The sequence below is a fragment of the Homo sapiens genome, chromosome 1 (assembly GCF_000001405.40).
Source record: "Homo sapiens chromosome 1, GRCh38.p14 Primary Assembly".
Lineage (NCBI taxonomy): Eukaryota > Metazoa > Chordata > Mammalia > Primates > Hominidae > Homo > Homo sapiens.
The window spans coordinates 56,317,044-56,343,390 of NC_000001.11; the positions used below are offsets into that span (position 1 = coordinate 56,317,044).

General features: G+C 41.9%; 1 long non-coding RNA gene across 1 annotated transcript in view, besides 1 other annotated feature; it reads right to left on the minus strand.

Moving 5' to 3' along the window:
* Window positions 1-15,273, minus strand: part of LOC124904186 (uncharacterized) — a 98,825-nt gene extending 83,552 nt beyond the window's left edge. Inside the window, exon 1 of the long non-coding RNA XR_007066107.1 lies at window positions 1,343-15,273. This is a non-coding gene — a long non-coding RNA (uncharacterized LOC124904186). The remainder of the gene's footprint in view (window positions 1-1,342) is intronic.
* Window positions 15,370-15,429: an enhancer, noted in NCBI's record as "active region_1076". NCBI's record gives its function as "activates an Ori minimal core promoter by ATAC-STARR-seq in GM12878 lymphoblastoid cells {active_cell/tissue: GM12878}" and the evidence as "EXISTENCE:reporter gene assay evidence [ECO:0000049][PMID:35858748]".

Sequence of the window (26,347 nt, forward strand, 5' to 3'; positions counted from 1 at the left end):
TACCTAAATAAAAAATAGTCAAAATTTGTTTATGGTAAGTGAAATAAGTCAGTCACAAAAAGACAAATATTATATGATTCCATTTATCTGACATACCTAAAACAGTCAAACTCATAGAGACAGAAAGTAGAGTGCTGACTACCAGGGGCTAGTACCAGGGATGAATGGGAAGCTTTGTCCCATGGATACAAAGTTTCAGTTTGGGAAAACGAAAAAAGTTGTGGAGATGAATGTGGTGATAGGTACAATAATGTGAATATACTTAATGCCACTGAACTGGACACTTAAAAGTGGCAAATGGTAAATTTTATGTTATGTATATTTACCACAATAAAATTAAAAAATATATATTTTAACTCACATACTAATCACACACACAAATAAATAAATTATTATCCCATGAGACAGGATGAGAAGGGAGGGAGGAAGAAAGACTTGCTCTTTTTATTTTGTACTTTACTGTAGTGTTTGCATTCTTTAATAATATGCACACATTATTTTCATATTTAAAAATAAAATATTTTAAAAGAATGGGTATGAAAGGGAAGAATTTCAATCCATGTTTCTGCTTGACTTGCACTCAAATTCTCAAAACACCATTTTATAGAAACTGATTTCCAAGAAGTCATCAAAGCCCTTTTTATTATTATTATTATTACTAGAAGCCATTCCGTTGGAATCAAACACTTGTGTTTTTCCGATGGAGCTGGAATTCAAAGTCTGAGAGGGTAAGTCCATTTGGAAACCTACTCAGCACAGCCTTTGAACTGCTGCGTTTTCCAGGGCTTCGCACACATCCCTCATCCAACTGGCTTCCCATCCAAGACATCGTCAAGCAGCCAGTATTTACTGACCTGCCCACAGGGGTGCCCTGAGCCTGCTGGAACATGCCCAGTAATCGAAGCCTACCCACCAGTGAAGTCGACCTCAGGAAAATCCCAGACTGCAGCTGTCCGTCACCTGGGCTCCAACCAGCAAGCTGAAGGATGCCAATATGGAGGCCTCGAAGAAGGCCTTCACATCTCACAGAATTTACTAGAAACTCTAGATTCCTGTCAGAGGACTCTAGCATGTCAGACTTGGAAGAGATCTCAGAAATCATGTTGTAAAACTGTTTCATTTTATAGAGGGAGAAATGAGGCCCAAATATGCACCATCATGGAGCCCAGACCCAAACATAGGTGTGAATAGCAGGAAACATGCCACGTTCTAGATTTAAGTCTGAAAGCGTCTTCCATAGTGTCAGGCCTGTCCTTTTTCGGGTTAGGTTGAGTAATAGATGGTGGTTAGGGAAATAGGAAGAAGTGAGGAGGCAGGAAGGAATACACATAGTTTTAGTTACCTTGGCAGATGTGATAATAGCATGAGAAGTAAGCCAGAACTCGTAGATTGGCCATGATGTCATTCAATTGATGGGTGAGTTCTTTGCTCTGCCAGACGTTGCTTTACGTGCTGTGGATGTGGAATTGAATCAGACATGGCCTTGCCCTTGAAACATTCATGGTCCAGCCGACCAGATGGTAACCAGGGTTGCTAATAGAGACAGTTACAGCACAGTGTGATAAGCATGAGATAGAGCAGTATTTCCTAAACTTTTCTGATCATTCGAATTGGCCACCTCAGACTTACTGAGTTAGATTGTTTAGGAGAAGGAGCAGATAATCTGCATTTTTACCAGGACGCACTCCCCCAACACCCCAAGTGATTCTCATGATCAGTCACACTGGCTTTGAAATTGTTTAGAGCTGGATCCAATTCTGGTTCAGGCCAATGGTGTTAACTCCCTAACAAAATTGCTCCCTGGACATTTATCTTTTTTCTGTTCCTAGATTCCTTAAGACTACACCTTTCCATCCCATCAAGACCCAGGACCACTTTGTACTGCTGTATAATTATGTTCAGCACAGACACATTAGCTGAGGAGCTGAATGCTTGCTGAGATCCAGTCCACACTGTACTAATTCTTCTGCTCAGAAGAATTTTTGAATCCAAACACTCAGCCTTGATTCTTTTGAGCTGTGTTCTTCCAGAGGGAGTAAACTTATACGATTCATCTGCCCAAACGGAGCATTTTTTTCTAATTCATACAAAGGCACCAAATAGACCAGCAGGACCCTGAAAGAACCATTTCCAGATATAAGGTCCTTAACACAGGTGTGTGCTGGTACCTGTACCTACCACCACTCCCAGATTTTCTTGCCACACTGGACTACTTCCACCTCTTCAGTGCCTGCACCAGCCTAATGTGGTGGTAGCCCCTGATCTGAGTCCTTGCCCATCCTCTCAGACCTGGAAGAAAGGAGGGACTATCCCAAATACTGTTTGTTCCATGCCTGGAACAAGAGGCAGTGTAGCTTGTCATTAACAATATGAGCTTTGGAGTCAGGCCTGAGTTCAGTTCTCAACTTAAGCTTTACTGTGCGACATGAACAAATTAAGTATATCTGTATAATGTAGATTTAAATTTCCTATGCATAACTTTATTGTAAGGTTGAACAAGATAATGCATGTGAAAGTTCTTAGCGATAATGAGCTTCTGTTTTCTGGGTGCTATCTCATTCAATATGAGCTTCACCTCAACACCTTTAGATAGCTATTATTATGATTATCCCCATTTTACAGATGAAGAAAATGAGTGTTGGGGTGAGATAGAGGAAAGTGTTACAGAGCTGATCTCTAAACCCAGTTGTAATTTTCCAATCCCTGTTCTTTCTTTCGACTTTTGCCTCTAGATCCAGACATTAACTCTTATCAGGGTTCCAGGTCTAAGGAGTGAAAAGATAAGATTTCACCCTCAATTTATAAATGTACCCAGGTTAGGCCTAGCAACACAGGTAGTATGCAAAATAGGCTTTGATATCTTGAATGCCAACTCAAATCTGTTAGTAATTACTGCCCAGAGGACCATGTTACGGAGCATCACAAGGGCAAGTCAGGGTTCATAGAGCATCATGATTGATTAATGATGCCAGCCATGGGAATGGGATCCAGGAATGACACCAGGTCCTACAGAAGACTTCCCATCCCTTTAAGATTTCAAAGTATACCCAAAGCCAAGCATGCTTGATAAAAAGGGAGATCTAAGGGCACTAAATAAAGCTGTTAAAGACCATTAACACCTTATTAAGACCCTTTCCCAGATGCAGCCAGAAACAGTCAAAGAACATAGAATGTGGGAACATTTTGGAGAGAAAGCATGGAGCTGTCTGAAGCATTTTTTCAAGGAGCAAAAACTCAGTTCTATTTTCAAGGCTTTAATTCTAAGCTCCATCTACATGAACATCAGGTAATGGAGGGAGGTCATTGTGGAATTTGGAAACCTACTTCTCACTAGAAGCTGATATGTGACCTTGGGCAATTAATTTAAGCTCTCAAAACCTCAGGTGTTTCATCTGTAAAATGTGGATAATAATCTCTATCTCATAGTCCTTGGCAGGTATTAAATAGAATAAATAACGTAAAGAAGCTACAAAGAACCCCACCCAAAGGAGATGTTTGAAAGCATTCATTCCCCACTCCTTTTTCTCCCTCAGAAAGAACATGGTGACACACTGTTTGTAAGTCAGGCATAATTTACATATAGTAGTAAGATTCATACATTTTAGGTGAACTGTTCTACACGTTTTGACAAACATATGCAGCCATGTAACCACTACCACAGTAGATACAGAATGCTGCCATCACCCCAGAAAGTCACTTCACACCTCTTTCCAGTCAATCCCTTGCACCTACCTCCAACCCTTGGCAAACACTGATCTTAACTCTGTTCCTATAGTTTTGCTTTTTTATTACAACCCATTTTAAAAGCATAAATCCAAACAGCAAATAATTCTCCAGAGTTTTTCCTTCACATCCTACTCAAAAATAGCTCAGCTCTGACGGCAAGCTCTCTGTTCCAGGAAAATTCTTCATTAAATAAATGAATTCCATGTGCATATTAAAAAGACATTCTGCTTCATATTCCTTCTATTTATAACCAGAGTTCAACCACTGGGGGCCCCAGGAGCCTGTCAGGGTCTCTGTGTGCTCTTTAGCTCACACTCTCTACTCCCTGCTCCAGCCCAACTGCATATCTGGCTCCAGGCCCAGGTGGCAGGAAAACCAAGGTGCCAAAAGGGGCTTGTGGAAGTGTGCCCTGAGGAGGTATGCTCCCCAAACTTTTGGTGCAAACTTCAGGATGTCCTGCAATTCCTTGGGGAATACGTGCCATGTATTAATTACTAACAGCATGGAGAAGAAAGGAATCAGTCTAGAAACAAGAACAAAGGGAGGGGTGGAAAGGGTTAGGTGGTTTCTAAAGTCTTTCCCTGCAGAGAAGTCCCATGACCCAAGTAGATCATACAATAATTCCTGCGGCCACCGCCCCCTCCTCACCTTCATGTGCCAAATACCATGATCGGCACAAGAATTAAAAGTGAACAAATAGAAAAAAATAATAATAATTATACTTAATTTTTGCCCATAGATAACTTACTGCCTAATCGAGAAACAAAACATGCACAGAAGGATGTGGTTGAGTAGAGGAGAAATAGCATGGAGTATTGAACTAGAGGAAACAGGGTTTTAACCTGAATAGTCATTTGCTTGTTGTGTGACCTTGGATATGGTGCGTCTCTCCTCTGAGCCTCAAAGTTTCCATCTATAAGCTAGAAATTACATCCACCCTCAGAGGAGTGTTATGTGGACTAAATAAGGTTATGGCTATAAATCACTTAGCCCAGTACCTGTCATGTTTTAGCTCAAGAAAGGGTAGGTTGCTGGGTGCGGTGGCTCACGCCTGTAATCCCAGCACTTTGGGAGGCCGAGGCAGGTGGATCACGAGGTCAGGAGATCGAGACCATCCTGGCTAACACAGTGAAATCCTGTCTGTACTAAAAATACAAAAAATTAGCCGGGCGTGGTGGCGGGTGCCTGTAGTCCCAGCTACCTGGGAGGCTGAGGCAGGAGAATGGCATGAACCCGGGAGGCGGAGTTTGCAGTGAGCCGAGATCATGCCACTGCCCTCCAGCCTGGGTGACAGAGCTAGACTCTGTCTCAAAAAAAAAAAAAAAAAAAGGGTAAGTTTTTTTTTTTTGTTTGTTTGTTTTATTTTTTACCACCTATATTAGTCTGGGTTCTCCAGAGAAACAAAACCAACAGGAGATAGATGGATGGATAGATAGATAATAGATAAACAGACAGACAGTGTGTATGAGTGTGTAAAGAGACTTATAAGAAATTGGCTCACATGATTTGAAAGCCAAGAAGCCCCAAGATCTGAAGTCAGTGAGCTGGATTCCCAGGAAATTCAATAGTGTGGTTCTAGTCTGAGTCTGAGGGCCTGAGAACTAGGAGAGTGAATGGCGTAAGTTCCAGTCTGAAAGCCAACTCACGACTCAAGAGCTGAAGAGCCAGCTTTTCAGCTGGAGCCTGAAGGCAGGAAAAGATCAGTGTCTCAGCTCAAGTGCCAGGCAGGAGGCATTCCCTCATTCAGCCTTTCTGTTCTGTTCAGGTCTTCAATTGATTGGATGCATTCTGTCCGCTTTAGGGAGGGCCATCTACTTTACTCAGGCTACCAATTCTAAAGTTAATTTCATCCAGAAACACCCTCACAGACACCCCCAGAATAATGTCTGTTCAAATATCCGGTCTGGTCAAGTTGACACATAAAACATCACAACCTCCAAGAAAGGAATTGGTATTCTAAAAGGGATTCGGAGAGAGGCCTATAGCATTTTGAATGAAAAAAGGTTACTTCTGGCTGCGTGGTGTAGAGGAGTTGATATTCGAACCTTTTTTTTTTCCATAATTGCAGCTGTACCATCTACCAAGAACCTGCCCATTCTAGAGGAAAGGCCTGGGTTTAAGTCTCATTCACTCCTTGTCAGTCTCAGCTTCATCTCAACATGCGACCCCTCATTTTTTACCTTGCTTTATAGTCCCTGTTTCAATTCTACTAGTCTGTAGTCTTGATGCCACTGTCCATGATTGATGCAGGCTCGGTGTTTTTTGTTTGTTTTGTTTTGAGACAGAGTTTCGTTCTTTTTTGCCCAGGCTGGAGTGCAATGGCACGATCTCGGCTGACTGTAATCTCCGCCTTCTGGGTTCAAGTGATTCTCCTGCCTCAGCGTTCTGAGTAGCTGGAAGTACAGATGCATACCACCATGCCCGGCTAATGTTTTATTTTTAATAGAGACGGGGTTTCACCCTGTTGGCCAGGCTGGTCTCGAACTCCTGACCTCAGGTGATCCGCCCACCTCAGCCTTCCAAAGTGCTGGGATTACAGGTGTGAGCCTCTGTCCCCGGCCTGGCTCAGTGCTTGACACATGGTAGAGGTTCAGGAGATACTGGTTGAGTGACTGAAATCTAATTCAACCATTTCATGCAACAGATAAAGCAACTAAGGCTGCAGTCCAGTGTGTTTGTTCATTCAGCATCTGATGAGCCCTTGCCATGTTCTGCAACAACCTATCAGGGTAAATATGTAGAAATAAGCAAGACATCATATATACCCCATGAAAGCTCAGGCTGGCACAAGGGAGGCAAATGAGAAAGGGGGAACGCCCGTGTGCAGGGCTCTTACTTATATCACTTCACCTTCTATTCCTAATGTCCATTCATTCATTCATTTACCTAAAAATATTTATTGAGCATTAACAGTTCTAGGAATTGTCCTAGGTTCTAGGGATACTACAGTGAACAAATGAGGAATAGCTATCATTATAGAGTTCACAGTCTGGTGGGTGACACAGACAAACAGAATGAAAAAAAAATAGTCAATTATGAAAATGACAATATTTGCAAAATGCAGAGGAATCAAGAAAGGAAAAAAATATATAATCTGCCTGGGGAAGTCAGGAAAAGTTTAATAGTAACTGATCTGAGAATTGAAGGAAGAGTGTGTGTTCTCCAATCAGACATATAAGGAATACTGTGGATACTGGATATGCATCTTAGGCCATGAGAATGGCCTATACAAAATCTTGCCAACATGGGAGAACATAAACAAATAAAAGCTTTTGTGTGTGTGTATTGAAGTTCTTTACAATTTAATTTTTCCCAAAACATTATGTTAAAACATATGACCATAAACCTTCGCACACCACAATCGACCTCTGATTCTTTATTTGCAGACAGCTGGTTAAGTGTAACTCTTTGTGTCTGACATTCAACAGCTTTCAACATTCATTGTCAGAAAATCATGTCAGGTTGGGATATAACGGCTGGGTCAAGGAATGCTGGTGGGCAGAGGAGACTTCTTCACCACCACTATGTATATCTTTATGGCCCTGTGGCTATTTGCCTCAACCAGTCATTACTACCTCTCTTGGATGAAATCCTGCTTTCAAGGATCATAGGCATGGAAAACTATCTGAGAGCTGATTTGGAGCCTCGGTGCTGCTCCTTACTTGTTCTGTTACCACATTCAAAACAACCTCATTGACCCTCAGTTTTATCAATTAATTTTTCACAGACATGGAAACTGAGGCCTAAGAGTGATAAAATGATATGCTCAGAGTCACACAGATAGGATCAGATTATGGTCCAGAGCTCAGCAAACACAGCTCCTCACTCTATCAATTCCCTTCTAGTATCAGAGGTAACTACAGTTCAACCGCATTTAAAAAAGGATGTGTTAATATTAATTAGGCCATTAAGCCTTATTCTGCTGTTTCTAGACTTAAATGTTTCCTCAGTTCCTCCTTCAACAACCACAAAATAAAATCCCTTCTACTTACATGGCATTCAACATTCTTCACTCTCTGTCTTCTTCCTACCCCTTCAGCCTTAGTGACATTCACCCCCCAATCTCAGCACCAAATATTGCATGTTTTGCCCCTTAAATCCCAAATTATCTACTGTAGATAATAGATGTATAGTTCCTCAGTTTCCTAATCTGTAAAAATAAGAGGTTTGACAAAGGACTAAAAGAGTCCTAAAGAAACTATGGGGATATCTACTTCTGGCCAAAATGGAGTAAGAGGGACCAGCTTTATTCTCCTACCTGAAACAACTGAGAAATCAAACAACAACAACAACAACAACAAAAACAATGGTTCTCAAGACATTGGACACTTCGGCAACGTAAGTCAATGATTCCTGCAAGACAGCTATATTAGGCTGTTCTTGCACTGATATAAAGAAATACCTGAGACTAGGTAATTTATATGAAAAGAGGTTAAATTGGTTCATGATTCTGCAGACTGTACAGGAAGCATAGCAGCATCTGCTTCTGAGGAGGCCTTGGGAAGCTTCCAGTCACAGTGGAAACCAAAGGGGGAGCAGCCCCACTACCTGGCAGGAGGAGGAGCGAGAGAGAGAGTGGAGGGGAAGGTGCCACACACTTCTAAGTGACCAGACCTCATGAGAACTCACTCACTATCATGAGGACAGCATCAAGGGGACGGTGCTAAACCATCCATGAAAAATCTACCCCCAAGATCCAATCAGTCCCACCAGGCCTCACCTCCAACACTGGGGATTACGTTTCAATATGAGATTTGGGTAGGGTAAACATCCAAACTATATCAACAGGAAAAGAAGGTACGTCTTATGATTGCCCCAGTTTACAGCCTTGAGTGAATTTCTAGGCCACAGCATAGGATGCGGCACCCAGATGGAGGCTAGCGGACACCCTGATTTGAGGAGACAAAACTGATAGTCTAGGCAGACCAAGGCGACTAGGGTTCGAGGGGTAGTATTCTAGAAAGAAAGGCCAATGAGAGAGGGAACTCCTGAGATGTGCTCTCAGTTCCCCTTAAGTATTCAGTTGATACTGCATCTTAGGCCATGAGAATAACCTATATAAAATGTTGCCAACAAGGAAGAACATAAACAAATAACAGCTTTTTTTGTGATGAAATTCTCTACAATTTAATTTTTCTTTACAAGCAGCATGTGCATGTAAAGAAAACTACCTGAGACAGGAGGAAGGGACCTCAATCTATTATGAGAAAAAAAATCAATCAAATGACAGTAACCCAGATGACAGAATAAACAGACGAGGGCATTAAAACAGCTATTGAAAGGGTATTCTGTATGCTCAAGAAGCCAGAGGAAAGGTCAAACACGTTAAGTAGAGACATGAAAGATGTAAAAAGACCCAAATTGAACTATAACATCTGAGCTGAAAAACGAACTGTGTGGTTTAATGGCAAATCCAACCCTGAAAAAGACAGTGAATATGCAGATTATCCAAAACAAAACATAGAGAGAAGAAAAAACTCAAAAAAAAAAAAGAATGAATCATCACTAAGTTATGTGAGAAGACCATTTAGAGAATGGAAAAATAAACCACAGACTAGGAGAAAATATTTTCATAATTTATAAAGAATTCTCAAAACTCAGTAATGAAAAAAATCAAACCAGGCCAGGTGTGGTGGCTCACACCTGTAATCTCAGCACTTTGGAAGGCCGAAGTGGGTCAGCCCAAGATTCGAACCAGCCCGGGCAACATGGCAAAACCTTGCCTCTACAAAAAATACACAAATTAGCCGGCGTGGTGGCATGTGCCTGTAGTCCCAGCTACTTGGGAGGTGAAACTGGGAGGATGGCTTGATCCCACGTCGAGGCTGCAGTGAGCCATGACCACACCATTGCACTCTAGCCTGGGTGACAGAGAAAGACCCTGTCTCAAAAAATAAAAAATAAAATTATATTTGAACACTCTACCAAAAACAAGATATACGAATGGCAAATAAGCACATGCAAAGATGCTCAACATCGTTAGTCATTAGGAAAATGCAAATGAAAGCACAGTAAGATATGCTAATCACCTACTAGAATATCTAAATGTTTAAAGACTAACATACCAAGTGCCAGAGAAAATATGGAGCAAGTAGAGCTCTCATACATTGTTGGGAGAAGCATAAAATGTTACTATCAGTTTGGAAAACAGTTTGACATCTTTGTAAAGTTAAACACACCTCTGTCATGTGGCCCAGCCATTCTACTCCTAGGGATTTAACTAAGAGAACTGAAAGCGTATGTCCATACAAACACTATTGTTCCTAACAGCTTTATTTGTAATGCCTAAAAGTTAGACACAACTAAAATGTTCATCAGCAGGTAAATGGATCCGTGAATATGGTATATCCATATAATGAAATAGTATTCCAATAAAAAGAAGGAACTATTCATACATAGAATAACATGGTAAACCTCAAAATAATTATGCTGATTAAAAAGAGCAAAATTTAAAAAGAATATTTACTGTTTGATTTTGTTTATGTAAAATGCTAGAAATACAAAATAATCTACAGTAACAGAAGGCAGATCCATGGTTGCCTGAAGATGGAGATGGGGATGGGGATGGGGATGAGGATGGAGATGGATTTGGGGACAGGGATGGGGGTGAAAATGAGGACAGGCTGGGGAAGGGGATGGGGATGGAGATGTGAATGGGAGTGGGGATGGGAATGGGAGTGGGGATGCAAATGGAGATGCAAATGGGGATGGGGTGGAAATGTAGATGGGGATGGGAATGGAGATGAAAACGGGGATGTGGATGGGGATGGGAATGAGGTTGGAGGAAGCAAGTAGAGAAGGACAGGAGAGGACCATCAAGGGGTACAGGGAAGCATATGGGAGTGATGGATATGCTCCCTATTTTAATTATTTTTGATAGTTTCATAGGTGTGTATATACACGTATCATATTGTATGCTTTCAATATGTGCAGTTTATTGTACATGAAGAAGAAGGAAGAGGAGGCAGCAGGGGATCAGGAAGAAGAAGCAATAGTAGCTATGATGCTAAGAGTCGCTCTTCTGCGTCATCCAGAGGCAAGCAAATAGTGTCTTCTGCCTTCTTTATGGCTCTCAGCTCCAGGCTAAAATTAGAATAATAGATAAAGCAACTATAGAACAAGGCAGTTGTCCAGAATATTGATTTGGCAAACACTTTTCCAGTGCTTTCTGCTTGCCAGGCTCTCTACTAAGTGCTTTGCATTACTTATCTCACTTAATTCTCTTATCAGTCCTCTGTGGTAAGTACTATTACTATCCTCGTTTTACAGATGAGGAAATAGACCAAAAGTGTTAAGTGCCATGTCCAGGGTTATATGGCAAAGCCAAATTAAATAAAGTTATATAAAAGCAACTCATAGGGCCCAGGACAGAGCAGGCACTTTATAAATATGAGTTGAGACCACTCTACTTGGTATATGTCGGTGAAGGTGACCTTGTCCAGTGATTGAGAATGCAAACTCTGAAGTGGAACAACTTTGGTTCAAACCCATTCACCAGCTATGGGAACTTTGGCTTAGAATTTCACTTCCTGTGCTGTTTCTTCATTTGTAAAACAGGGCCTGATTTAAAGGTTTAATGGAGTAATATGTATAAAAAATATGGAATGATAGTTGATAGGCAATAAATTCTCAAAATATGGCACTTATCACATTAGTTGAGTCTTGGTTTGTGCAGCATTTGTTGATTGATTGATGAGAGAAAACACATAGCAATGTTGTACCATCCTCAATAAAATCCACTTGAGAACTCACCAAAATGGTAGTCATATTCTCATTTACTATGCTATTCAGAGCAAAAAAGAGATCTATCTTCCAAACAAAACCCATCATTTGTGTCCTAACAAATTTACTTCTCATCATCAATTCCTCTCTGGCCCTTCCTGGCCATCTCAGGACTCCCTCAACACCCTGTGAGTGAGCCTTAACCTGAGGTCACTTTCTCTTCCTGGACAGACTCCCATAAGCCAGTGCCTCTCTGCCTTCCACTTCTCTTCTTGAACATCCTCATCCTTGGGGCTCTTAAGCTCTCGGGATAAATGGTTCAGAGCCATCTGTGGTATGCTGTCCTCTTTGGACAGAGCTTGTAGCCTAACATTCTACTTTGCTCACTACACACCAGCCACATTAATGAGATGACTGTATTATTTTTCCATCCAGTAGAGATGCTTTAGGGAGTGCAAAATAGCCCTATTAATAAGGACTCTGGGTTTAAATGGGACTATCCCCAGAAAACAGCCTATATCCTGTTCATATGACCACCTTCACAGACCTTCTCTCCATTCTTGGTTTGTGCAAAACTCCTTTGCAACTTCATGCATGCTGCTTTACTTAAGCAAGACATCCTTCCTCTCCCCTTTAATTCCACCACCTATGACTCATCCCATTTCACTTTCAATGACACTTTCAGGCACAGGCCCTCACATCACCCTATATTCCTTTCTTATAGTACTTTTCATAAAACTGTTTCATAACTTATATAATGGCAAAGAACCCTAGCTTGGTGGCTCTTAGTACCAACCCTGTAACCTTTGACAAGTCACTTAATTATTTTCAGGCGCAGTGGCTCATGCTTATAATCCCAATGTTTTGGGGTACTGTGGTGGGAAGACTACTTGAGGCCAGGAGTTCAAGACCAGACTGAACAACATAGCAAGACCCCCACCTCTCCAATAAATAAATAAATAAATAAATAAATAAATAAATAAAAAGTTACTTAATTCTCTGGGCCTCAGATTACACATGTGTTAAATGGTGATGATAATAGTGCCTATTTTGTGGGGTAATTTTGAAGGGTAAATGGAAAAAAATTTCCATAAATCACTTAACACAGTCCTTTGGTAAGAAGAAAGCTCCTAACAAAGGTTTTTCTTGGGTTTGGTTGTTGTTATCACCATTGCATTTTCCAGTTTGCAGGGCCCTTTCACATTTGGTGTGTTCTTCCTGGTAAAGGACTAGGTTTGTCCTGTTAGAGAGTTGTCAAATGGACTCTGAGAAGTCAAGTGGCTTTACTCAGGTCACAGCTGGCAGGACCAGGGCCTGAATCCTAAATACTGATGCCACAGTGGGTTTCATTGCTGCTATTTTGACGTCCGTTCTAGCACTCAGTTCTACTGTTTCATAGAGTAGGGAGATGTTGCTGTGAAGGCTTCACTTTACTTCAACATGCCTATATGAAAGTTGGCTAAGTGCTCAGAAAAGAAGTAGCTTTTGAACAGAATGCATTTATAGCTAAAGGCTTCCACACTGGGAGTCAGTGTCAGAGAGATTAAATACCTAGTCTTGGGAATGACATCTGGCTTTAAATCAGCACTCCGCCACTAATCATCATGTGGCCCTGGGCAAGTCCCTTGATCTGTACAAGGCTCAGTTTCCTTGTATATAAAGTGGAGATTGCAATGGCACCTCTGTCTTCTAAAGCAGATTGCATAATACAGGCATGTAGCAATACTAAATAAATGTTAACTAGTATTCTGATCTAATTTTTAAGCTCCAGTTTGTGCCTACTGCTCTTGAAGTAAAGACCAAACTCCTTAATATGATCTACAAAGCTTGGATCTATCTAAGTGAACCTGTTTAGCCTAACATCCCACTTTGCTCACTACACACCAGCCACATTAATGAGATGACTATTATTTCTCCATCCAGTAGAGATGCTTTAGGGAATGCAAAAAAGCTCTATAATGAATACACTGGGTTTACAAAGGGACTATCCACAGAAAACAGGACCATATGGTCATGTTACACATTGACTTTCTCTCCGTTCTTGGTTTGTGCAAAACTCCATTGCAACTGCATGCATGCTGCTTTACTTAAGCAAAATGCCCTTCCTCTCCCCTTTAATTCCACCACCTATGACTCATCCCTCTAGTTTCATTTTCAATGACACTTTCAGCCATAGGCCCTCACAGCACCCTATATTCCTTTCTTATAATACTTTTTCATAACTTTTGTTTGAACAACTACTTCTCCATCAAGATTGATTTATATCTATCTCTCCCACTAGACTGTAAGCTTCATGAGCATAGACTATGACTGTCTTATTCATCATTATATCAAGTTTCTAGCAGTCACTGAATGAATGAATGAATGAATAAAATTATTATTATATATGACCTGCACAATAACTCTGTAAGATAAAGAAGTATTATCATCTCCATTTTATAGATGTAAAAATGAAAACAGAGAAGTTAAGCAACTTGCCCAAAGTGACACAGTGAGTGAAGTATTGAATACAAGGGACTCTGACCTAGAGTAAGACTCCCAGCTCAATACATTTTCTGCTACTCCATATTGTCTCTTAATATCCTATCTCCATGTCTTTTGGATCTGAAAAACTCAGCCTCTATTACCGACAGCTAATGAATACAAGAGAGATTTCTCTGAACACAGACAAGCCCTCTATCCCTTCTCTTTTAGTGGGGGCTGTTGGAAAGGAAGCTTACTTCAAGTAGATATAAGAAATAAACATTTTTGCCAGCTTGAATGCAGCCTAATCCAGTGGTTATTTAGATTAAAACCCCAGGGCAGTGTCCAGGCTGACCTCATCTCTATGTGGCAGAAGAGTGCCACCAGGTTCAGCCACACTCAGGAGCCTCAGCCCAGGAGAAGTACATAAGGAAATAGTTCAGAATCCCAGTGCTCCAGGGGAGCCTTGATGACTGAAACTTGAGAGGCCTCCTGAACTTGGAAGAGAGGTCAGGCCACCAAATGCTCCATTGTCCATTGAATGTTACATCCCATGCAATTCCAGATAACTCAATACTACAGTATTCTCTTACAACTGAGAGCATTATATTTTTCAAATGCTTCCATAAACAGCTTTGTTTTCCTTTTAACCTATCAACAACTAAAAAAAAATGTGGGAACAAGTAATGCAGTAAAAAATGGTTACGTGCATGGGATTTGGAGTCAGACAGGTTGAATCCCATTTCTGCTGCCTTCTAGCTATGGAACTTGAATAAGCCACTGAGCCCCTGTGAGCCTCCGTTTTCTCATGTGTAAAATAAAGATACTGTATTACATACAGAGACATCATAGAGTCAGTCAGGTGATGTATGTAAAATGCTTTTCTCAGAAGTTCAATATTAATAGTACTTAAGTCAGAATTTCTGGACTCTACTTTGTTGAGTGGGATTTCTTTACAGTGAGGCCCACCAGCAAATATCCACCTCCTAGTTCATCTCCATAGTTAAATAGCAGGCTGAGTAAATATTTGTGACATGAATCAATAAGCCAGTGAACCTTTGTCCCGTTATGGCACCAAGAAACCTTTCCCTCTCTCCTGGTTTGGGGCCTAAATGCTTCTGGAATAATGAGCTGTCATGGATTGATGAATCACAAAGCAGTGGACTTACAATGCCTTCCAAGCAATCAGGTTTAAAGAAAAATCCTTTAGGGCACATTGATGCGGGGTGAAAGAAAGCGAGGCTGGGTCCTGATGAATCCCACACGCAGCCTGACAGAGTGAATGGCAACCTCTTCAAATCGGTTCTTGGCGGAGGCACTCGGGGAGTTCTTACTTACCAGCCTCTCCAGACCTGTCTGTCTGTCCACCGCAGACTCTACCTCTGACTGGGGAGGCCTGAGTCAGGCGACCAGGGGATCCTGCTGATTGGAGTCAGCTCAATGACTCGTCAGCTGGAAAGAGGGGGATATTGAATTCATCAGTCATGTTGACAGGGGGCGTGGGGTGGAGAGTGCAGGGGAAAACCCAGTGTTGGGCAAAGCTGTGAAGAACACTGAGTTAGACTTGGGCACGATAACCCCTTGAACCAAATTAATGACCCACAGGCTCCCATTGTTTTGTTTCAAATTGTACTGAATGATGGATAATAAATGTTAGCCCTTGGGTCTCACTCAAATATCTAAGAAAACAGTAGGCAATTTCTTAAATTTTTTTTTCCGAGTGTTTTCATGTATCTTTAAATGTTATACAACATTTATATTTCAGTAATTGGACACGCTGATACTACCTGGGATGGTAGCAGCCAATTGGGATTTTTTTTTCTTTTCTTTTCTTTTTTTTTTTTTTTTTTTTGAGACAGAGTCTCACTGTCACCCAGGCTGGAGCACAGTGGTGCGATCTCGGCTCACTGCAACCTCCACCCCTCAGGTTCAAAGATTCTCATGCCTCAGCCTCCTGAGTAGCTGGGATTACAGGCATGCACCATCACACCCAGCTAATTTTTGTATTTTAAGTAGAGACGGGGTTTTGTCATGTTGGCCAGGCTGGTCTTGAACTCCTGACCTCAAGTGATTTATCTGCTTTGGACTCCCAAAGTGGTGGGATTACAGGCATGAGCCACGGCACTTGGTCAACAAATTGGGATTTATTAAACACCTATTTTGTACCATGTGAATATATATATATCTGTTATTTTACTCATTTCTCTGAGAGGGGTGCCTACATAATTCCCAAATTATAGATAAGAAAACAGGGAAAGACAGGTGACTAATTTGCAGAGTCACTTTACAAGACAGTGACAGAGGCTGAACACAGTGGCTCACACCTGTAATCCCAGCATTTTGGGAGGCCCAGGCAGGAGGATTGGTTGAGACCAGAAATTTGAGACCAGCCTGAGAAACACCAAGGCCCCATCTCTACAAAAAATAACAATTAAAAAATGAGCCAGGTGTGGTGGCAGATGTCTGTAATCCCAGCTACTTGGGAGGCTGATGCAGGAAGATCACTTGAGTCCAGGAGTTGAAGGATGCAGTGAGCTATGAATGCGCCATTGCACTCCAGCTTCGGTGACAGAGAAGGACCCTGTCTCTGAAAAAAAAAAAAAAAAAAAAAAAAAACAGTGACAGAACCAGAATTTTAACTCAAAGCTATGCAACTCTAAAGTGTATCAGTCCATGCCCTGCCCCTTTTGCCTCTGCTCCAAGAATCAGTAGCAGGGGTTGGTTTGGCCCATTGCTCACCAGTTGATAGCATGTACATGTGTTTCACTGGTTAAGTTTTGAAGTGAATTGTTTCTCCCAACAGCCTTGTTAAGTGACCAAGCTAAATTTGAGGTCAAGTGTCTTTGGAGTCAAGAGAAGCTCTAGTCCAGCTGGTCTCTGTAAGAGTCCCTCCTAGAACTTCCTCCCCGACTGGTCTACTCCAGGAGCCACCAAGATGCACCTTTTTCCAGATATTCAGAGCCAGAACAGTCCTTGAAATTCTTCTTTTTCAGATTGCTGGGGCTGTCCTAATTAGCACAATGGTAATTGTTGGGAGGGGAGTTTGACAGTTGGCCCAGGGACCTGGGCCAAGGCCCCCTCTGGCTATGATGTTCTGAGATTATGTGAATTGAAGGGTTCCCTCTGGTTCAGAATCCATATTCCACACTCTGCTCTCTCAGCCTGGCTTCCATGTCCAGAGATTATATGCTAGCTTTAGTACTTTTAGGCTAATGATACTGAATCACAGGTTTGGAAGGGACTTTAGGACTGTCAGGTCCAATCTACAATTCAATAGTTGGATCTCATCTGCAATATCCCTGCCAATTGGTTTCCCCTCTGCTTACCCTTCTCCAGCAATGAGGAGCTCATTACCTCATTCCTTCTTTGGATAATGTGGCTGTTAGAAAGTTCTTTCTTTGCTTTAAGTTGTTTCAGGCAGAAGGGACAACATGAGCAAAGACGTGGAGGAGAAAACAGCTTGCGTCACTCAATGAGGATTTGGAATCAGAAGACTAGGGTCAAGACCCACATCTCCTACTTCTTAGCTGGTGACCTTGGATAGGAATTTAACCCTCGTGAACTTAAGTATTTCTTTTCTTAGCTATGAAATAGGGTTAATACCTGCCCTATCTACCCCCAGGACTTGCTGTGAGGATCAAATGAGAAAATGAATAGCTACTTTCAGAGAAAAAGGGTGTGTACATTTGTAACAGGATAGTTATTATCATTGACAGTTTTTTTGTTTGTTTGTTTGTTTGTTTTTGAGACAGAGTCTCACTCTTTCATCCAGGCTGGAATGCAGCAATGTGATCTCAGCTCATTGCAACCTCTGCCTCCTAGGTTCAAGTGATTCTCATGCCTCAGCCTCCTGAGTAGCTAGGATTACAGGCATGAGCCACCATGCCTGGCTAATTTTTGTATTTTAGAGATGGGTTTTACCATGTTGGCTAGGCTGGTCTCAAACTCCTGACCTCAGGTGATCTGCCCACCTCAGCTTCCCAAAGTGCTGGGATTACAGGCATGAGCCACAGCACCCGACCATCACTGATAATCTTTTATCCAACTTTTTCCACTTTGAATAAGAAAGGAACCAAAGCAGTTGTCTTTGATTTGTTTTGCTACTATTTGCAAGGCAAGAGGTTTGACACTTGCCATAAAATGCAGAAGTAGCACTTGCCCAAATTTTGTCCTTTAGTGGACTCAATATATTTTCAGACAGCATCATGAAATGGTATCTCACTCATGCCCAAATCTCCTTCCCAATTCAGGCACATTGTTTGGGTCTCCCTGGGGAAAGGGCCGACACTTGTGCTCATTTGCACCCAAGCTGCTGAGGGCTTGCACTGACAGAAACAGATGTCAGCAGGGTGAAACCAACACATTAATTTTGCCTGATGACCTAAGCCAGATGTGGATAGAAGTCTCCAGAGGTAAGAAAGAGGGCGAGAAAAGATTATGGCCTCTCCCTGCTGTACCACAATCCATTCCGATTTTTCAAGATTATCTTTCAGCCATCAGCCCCAAAACTGACTAAATATCTCATGCAGCCTTTCTGAGCCAGCATCCCCAGGCTCTCCAGATTTGACCATCTCTGAATAATTGTGAGTATCACCTTTCAGGAAAGACCTCCCTGACCATTTCAAATGCCACAGTTCTTGATCTAGATGATATATCATTTCATTCTCAAAATAGTCCTCTGTGGTAAGTTTTATCATTTCCTTTATTTAGATGTGGAAAGTGAAGCTAAGAAAGGTGAAAGTGCTTATTTAAGTTCACAAGGATAGCAGAACCAAAGCTAAAACTAAAGTCTTTTAACTTTAAAAGAAAAAAAGAATTATTAAAGACAACTTATCATAAATGTATGTTTCAACAAAGATGCCAACATTAATTAAATTCCTTCTCTGTTCAAGACTCTACATGAAATACTGGAAACGAGATGAGGGTATAGATGAGTATTTCACTCTATTGAAGAATAGTTTGGGGAGAGGTTTCCTTTTGTAAGCTACAAAGTATGTAATTCTTGGGTCTGCTCATTCAACAAGTATTTAATGGTATCCACTAAGGTGCCATCCAATGCGCTTGATGGCTCCTGTAGTAGACCAGTCTGGGAGGAGGTTCTAGGAGGAACTCTTACAGAGACCAGCTGGACTGGAGCTTCTCATGACACCAAAGACACTTGACTTCAAATTTAGCTTGGTCACTTAACAAGACTGCTGGGAGAAACAATTCACTTCAAAACTTAACCAGTGAAACACATGTACATGGTATCAACTGGTGAGCAATGGGCCAAACCAACTCTTGCCATTGATTCTTGGAGCAGAGGCAAAATGGGCAGGGCATGAACTGATACACTTTAGAGTTGCATAGCTTTGAGTTGAAATTCTGGTTCTGTCACTCTTTTTTTTTTTTTTTTTTCAGAGGCAGGGTCCTACTCTGTCACCCAAGCTGGAGTACAACGGAGTATTCATAGCTCACTGCATCCTTCAACTCTTGGACTCAAATGAGGAGTCCAGGAGTTGGGTAATATACCATTATAACTATCTTTTTGCAAATCCAGAGATGAATAATCCATGTGCACAAGATGAAGAAGAAAGACTAGAAGGAAATCATTTCACATGGTTAAAGAAATGCAGCAATCAAGGTCTATAAAGAGCAAACTTGTCCAACCTGTGGTTGATGGTCCACGGTCCACACGTAGCCCAGGAAGGCTTTGAGTGCAGCCCCGCACAAACTGGTAAACTTTCTTAAAACATTATGAGATTTCTTTTTGCAATTTTTTTAACTCATCAGCTATTGTTAGTGTTAGTGTATTTTATGTGTGGCCCAAGATAATTCTTCTTCTAATGCGGCCCAGGGAACAAAAAGATTGAACACCCCTGACACAGAGTATATGGAGGCACTGAACAAGCCTTATGTATCCCAGATCCAGGGAGGTGGGAATGTAGGAGGTTGAGGTCAGAAAGCCTTCTGGAAGGAGCTCTCATGTGACTTAAGTCTTAAAAGTCAAGTATGCCTTTGCCAGGTTAACAAATGAGAAAGAGATATTCCAGGGAGTAGTAATAGAGCTGACGGAGTGCTGTGCATAGAAAACCACAAGCTTAAAGCCTGATGAGAGAAGTGGCAAGTAATGAGATGGAACAGAACGGCAAGGGTTGGATCATGAAGGATCTAAGGAGCCAGGCCATGGAGTTTGGACTTCATCTCAAAAACAATAGGAAACCACAGAAGGGTTTTAAGCCATGGAGTTAAATTACTTGACCTAAGTGGATTATTATTTATTATCTTAGGATATAATTATATACACAGAGACTCAGGAATGCACAATGTTTTGATTTGAGATAGTTTTATTCTCTAGTCATAATGTGCTTCTAAAAATTGATTGATATTCATGATGGATCCTAAGTTAAATTATTCTGTTACAGGGGAAATTTTTGAAGTTTTAACAATTAAAGCTATTTAATAAACCAAGAGACAGTTGCCAAAAAGCAAAATTGGAGCTAATGGCTAGCCTCTCAGCATCACTCTGGATTTGTTAATACATCTTGAGCACCTACAATGAGCCCTGTACTGGCAGGGGGGCACATAGAATTTTAGGGTACTCTTGCCTTCACCTGGAAAAATACGGGTCCTGAAAGAAGAGGAACCTGGTCTGAAGGGAAGGAGGAGAACTTAATTCTCAGTATCTGCCTTGTCACATATCCATCATGGAAGTCCCTGGAGTCTAGACTCTGACCTTTAAAAAAAAAATCAACTTCACTGAGATATTTATATACAATGAAACACCCATTTGAATAACACAATTTGATGAATTTTGACAAATGTATTAACTCATAAAACCATCACCACAACCAAGGTATAAAATATTTCCATAATCCCAAACAGTTGGCCTGTGCCCTTTCCAAGTTTCCCTTGTAATCCAGGCCCTCAAGATGAGGAACTTTCCTACCCTGTTCCCTGCACGTGCCCCACTCCCACATGCCATGTGACCACCGATGTTCCTTCTGTCCCTATCAATGGAATAATACGGTATGTGTCCTTTGTGTACATTATCTTTTGCTTAGCATGATTTTTAGATTCTTCCATGTTGAGTTGAATACCTCAATAGTCCCTTACTTTTTATTGCTAACTAGTATTTCATTGTATGAATTTACCAAAATTTGTTTATGCATTCATCTGTTGATGGATATTCGGATTGTTTCTAGGTTTGGGGTATTATGAATAGAGACGTTATGAACATTTGTATACAAGTCTTTGAGCTATGATTTCTTTTCTCTTTTTTTTTTTTTTTCCCCGAGATCAAGTTTCACTCTTGTTGCCCGGACTGGAGTGCAATGGTGCAATCTCAGCTCACTGCAATCTCCGCCTCCTGGGTTCAAGTGATTCTCCTGCCTTAGCCTCCCAAGTAGCTGGGATTACAGGCATGCATCAACCTGCCCAGCTAATTTTTTGTATTTAGTAGAGATGAGGTTTTACCATGTTGGTCAGGCTGGTCTCGAACTCTTGACCTCAGGTGATCCACCCACCTCAGCCTCCTGATTTCATTTTTTTTTAGGTAAATACTCAGGAGTGGAACTGCCTAGTTGGCAACATATGTTTAACATTACAAGAAACTGTCAAATTGTTTTTCAACATGGGCGTTCCATTTTACATTCCAGCCACTAATAGACAACAGTTCCAGTGCCCCACTTCCTTACAAACATTAGGCATCATCAATCTTTTGAATTACAATCATTCCAATTGGTGTGTTGTGGTATCTAATTGTTGTTTTACGTTTTCCTAATTACTAATGAGTTTGTCTGTTTTAACAACTACATGAGAAAAAAATTTTTACTGACTGAATAGGTAAGATCCATGACTATAGCTCAACACTCACATGATACTGCTTTACTCATGTTGTGTTTTTGCAAGACACTGTGGTAGAGACTAGAAAACTTGGGAGGACTTGCAAAGAAATCTTGGAATAACACATGAAGGATGATGTGAAAAGTGATTCCGAAGCAGACCACCCTTTCCTGTGCTTATTACTCATTTGTACACCTTGTTTTATGAAAAATCTTCTCTAATCTTTTGCTCACCTTTTTTATTAAATTGGTAATAATATTATTGAATTGCACAAGTTCTTTGTTCTGGTTACAAGGCCTCTGTTAAATATATGTTTTGTAATAATTTTCTCTTAGTCTATGGCTTGCCTTTTCATTTCTTAACAGTGTTTTTGGAGATACTCTTAAGTGTTTTTGAGTGTTTTAGTGAAATTAAATTCTCCTTTTTTATTTTTATTTTTTGAGATGGAGTCTTGCTCTGTCACCCAGGCTGGAGTGCAGTTGTGCAATCATGGCTCACTGTGGCCTTGACCTCCCAAGCTCAAGTGATACTCCCACCTCAGCTTCCTTGGTAGCTGGGATCACAGGTACTTGCCACCATGCCCAACTGATTTTTTAAATTTTTTTGTAGAGACAGGGTCTCCCTATGTTGCCCAGGCTGGTCTGGAACTCCTCATCTCAAGTGATTCTCCTGCCTCAGCCTCCCAAAGTATTGAGATTATAGGCGTGAGTCACTGCACTTGGCCTAATTTCTCCTTTTAAGTGTCATGCTTTTTGTTTCCTGAGAAACCATTGCCAATCCTATTGAAAAAATATTCTCCTTTCTTCTAGAAGTTTTGTAGTTTTAGGTTTTACCTTTAGGTTTTTATCCATTTCAGTTAGTTATTATGTATGGTATAATGAAAAGAGCAAGGTGAATTTTTCCTCATATAGGTAATACATGAGGAAAAATTTTTTCAACACCATTTATTGAAAAAACTATCTTTTCTCCCATTGAATTACCTTAGCACCTTTATAAAAAATCAATTGATTGAAAGGAGAACAGAGACTTCAGCAAGATAGAGAACAGAGACTTCAGCAAGATAGCTAATTAGGGTTACCTGGTGCTCGTCCCCTTCACAAGACCAAAACAAATAAACAACTATATTTCATGCTTTCTTAGTCACCGGAGTGACTGAGAAAGCATGCTGGAGAGCACCAGGGGAAAGTTGATATCACTGTGGAGCACAGGAAACCCAGGACAGCGTCACGGAGAGGGGAGCAAGGCGTTCTGCCTCTGCCCACACTGCCTCCTCCACTGGGATAGGCTCAGGGTTAAGGGGACTTCTTACAGGGAAATGGTAAGCTGGAGATCCCCAGTAGTCTTCATTGTCACTACCAACGCCATCCAACCTTACTACAGGAGAGTCCTCCAGTCCTTGCAGGCACTGAATTCCATCTGGAGAGTAGCCAGGAGTTCAAGCAGCAGCCTTGCATCATAGTAGGAGCCTGCCTTGAGCATCTCCCACCCTGTGAGCTAAGCTGCCACAAACAGCTTGGCACCATCTTGAAACTGGAACCACTACTAGCATCAGTCCTTCCCTGGGGATTAGTAGCAACTGACTGTCTCCATCCCTGAGGCCCCACTGTCATTCCATCACATTCACATGGTTGACTGCTGGCTGCCTAGAGCCTAGGCCAGATATAATGACCAAGACCCTGGTGTCTAAACTGATGCAGCACACCACCACCCCAGGGACAAGGCAGACCTGCACAGCGGAAAAGCCAACACACAGCCACCTAGCATTGTTGCCTGCCCACACCCACACCACAGGCAGGCAGCCCACCCAGTCCATGTGTGCCCATGACTAGCTAGAATGCCAGTCCAGCCATCACCCTCACCCTCGGGAAAGACTGCCACAGGGCCACCTAGCCCTGCAACACCACAATGGCACAACAGCTGGTCAGCAGCAGCCTTGCCTTTCTTGACAGACCACCACTGGGCTATCCAGCATCATGCACCCATGCACACCCACCTGGCCCAACATCCAGCTTAGTGGTAGCCCTGCCTCCCCAGAGAGACAGCACCACAGCTGCCAGGCTGACTGTACCCTTGTGCACCCAAGCCTAGTTTGACAAGAAATTTAAACTCAATAGCAAAAAGACCCAAAAACAACCCAATTAAGAAATAGACAAAAGTCTTCAATAGGTATTTCTCAAAAAAGACATACAAATGGCCAAAAGGTATACAAAATATGCTTATCACTAATAATCAGGAAAATGCAAACCAAAACCACAGTGAGATACCACCTCACTCTAATTAGAATGGCTATTACCAAAAAGACAAAAGAAAACAAGTGTTGGCAAGGATGTGGAGAAAAAGGATACTGTTGGTGGGAGTGTAGGCTAATACAGTCATTACAGAAAACAGAGATAGAGTTACAGGCTAATACAGGCTAATACAGTCATTACAGAAAACAGTATAGAGATTACCTCAAAAATTAAAAATAGAACTACCATATGATCCAGTAATCCCATTGCTGGGTGTATATCCAAAGGAAATCAAATCAGTGTGTCAAGGGTATATATCCAAAGGAAATCAAATCAGTGTGTCAAAGACATACCTGCACTACCATGTCTATAAGCAACACTATTCACAATAGCTAAGATATGGAATCAACCTAAGTGTCTAACAACAAATGAATGGATAAAGAAAATGTGGGCTGGGCATGGTGGCTCACGCCTGTAATCCCACCACTTTGGGAGGCCGAGGTAGGCGGATCACCTGAGGTCAGGAGTTCGAGACCAGCCTCACCCACATGGAGAAACCCTGTCTCTACTAAAAATACAAATTAGCCAGGCTTGGTGGCACATGCCTGTAATCCCAGCTACTTGGGAAGGCTGAGGCAGGAGAATCACTTGAACCTGGGAGATGGAGGTTGCGGTGAGCCGAGATCGCGCCATTGCACTCCAGCCCGGGCAAGAGCAAAACTCTGTCTCAAAAAAAAACAAAAAAGAAAATGTGATATATATACCCAATGGAATACTATTCAGCCATAAAAAATAATAAGATCCAGTCATTTGCAACAACACTTATGAACCTCAAGGACATCATGTTAAGTGAAATGATCTAGACACAGAAAGACAAATACTGCATAATCTCACTCATATGTGGAATGTTAAAAAAAAAAAAAAGTTGATATCATAGGAGCAGAGTAGAACAGTAGTTACCAGAGGATGGGGAGTGGTGAGGGGCGGGGAGGATAGGGAGAGGTTGGTAAGTGGGCACAAAGTTACAATTAGGTAGGATGAATAAATTCTGGTGTTCCATTGCACAGTAGGGTGAATATGGTTAACAGTAAAATATTGTATATTATTAAATAGCTAGAAGAGAGGCTTTTGAATATTCTCACCACAAAGAAATGATAAATGCATGAAGTGATGGATACACTAACCACCCAGATTGGATTATTCTACCATGTAGATATGTATTCCTGGACACAGGAAAACAGTAAAAGAGGAATCCCCAGAACTCTGGGAGAGACCCTAAACCCAAGAGGCCTTTGTTTCCGACATATGGAGCTACCTAAAGACTGCACAGGGACATTGCTTCAGAAAGAGAACCCACACAAAATTCCACAGGTATTCAAGCCTAGGGCAGCCTCAGCCAGGTGCCATTTGGAGAGTCCCCACATACCAATGATCTACAGACATGGCTGCAGCCACTGTGTTTCTCCAAGGAGAGAGAGAAGAGAACAGGCACTTCCACACAATCCTTGGAGGGTCCCTGCCACCCTGCTGTGACCTGCTGTTGAGGATGAGACATTAATGGAACACACTCCCCACAGCTTCTTGTTCACATTGCTTGTCTGTGTGGTGCCCCACCCTCTCCAGTCCCAGGCTCATGGTACTACTTTGAGAACAGCCCTTGGCCTGAGTTTAGGCTGATATGGCTGCAACCACCACCCAGCCAAGGAGGGACAGGGAAGCCAAGTTCTCCTATGCATACATAGGACAATGCCCAACATCCTGCTAGAAGCTGCTGTGAGACTGAGACTTTAACAGATCACACTCCACACAGTTTCTTGCCCATGCTGTTTCCACCTGAGAAGGGTCCCACTCTTTCCAGTCACAAGCCCACATATGGCACTCTTTTGAGAATTTAGAGATATTGTTTGGCCACCTGGCAGCAGCAGCCACAACAGACATTTTAGTCTTGGGCCAGAGATTGAAGAACTTGCTCTGGAATGGTGGAAAGGCCCCCATAGCCAGAATTTAGCAGGGAATGTGGAGAGTGGCCCAGCAGTAGCTGTTGAAATTAAGTCCTCTCCCATCACAGGACTGGAGCAAGAGGAGAGTTGCTGAAGCTGAGTTTTTCCTGGGCAGTAAGACTTGCAGCCAGGGACATCTTTATGACCTGGAACCCATCTGTGGGTGTCATTGCTGGGGGCCTCAGCCTTCTCCCTAGCTCTTTTGAGGGACAGGGCCCCAGCAGCTCTGAGAAGAAGGAGGGGCCCCACTCCACTGGAGATCCAACCCTCAGTGCAGTCTGCCCCTAAGGACAGGGGAACACAGTCTACCAAAGCCCTCCTTAGGTCAAAGAAAAGGTGAGCATGGCATCAGCTACTGAAGGCAGCACCACCAAAGCCCAGGAG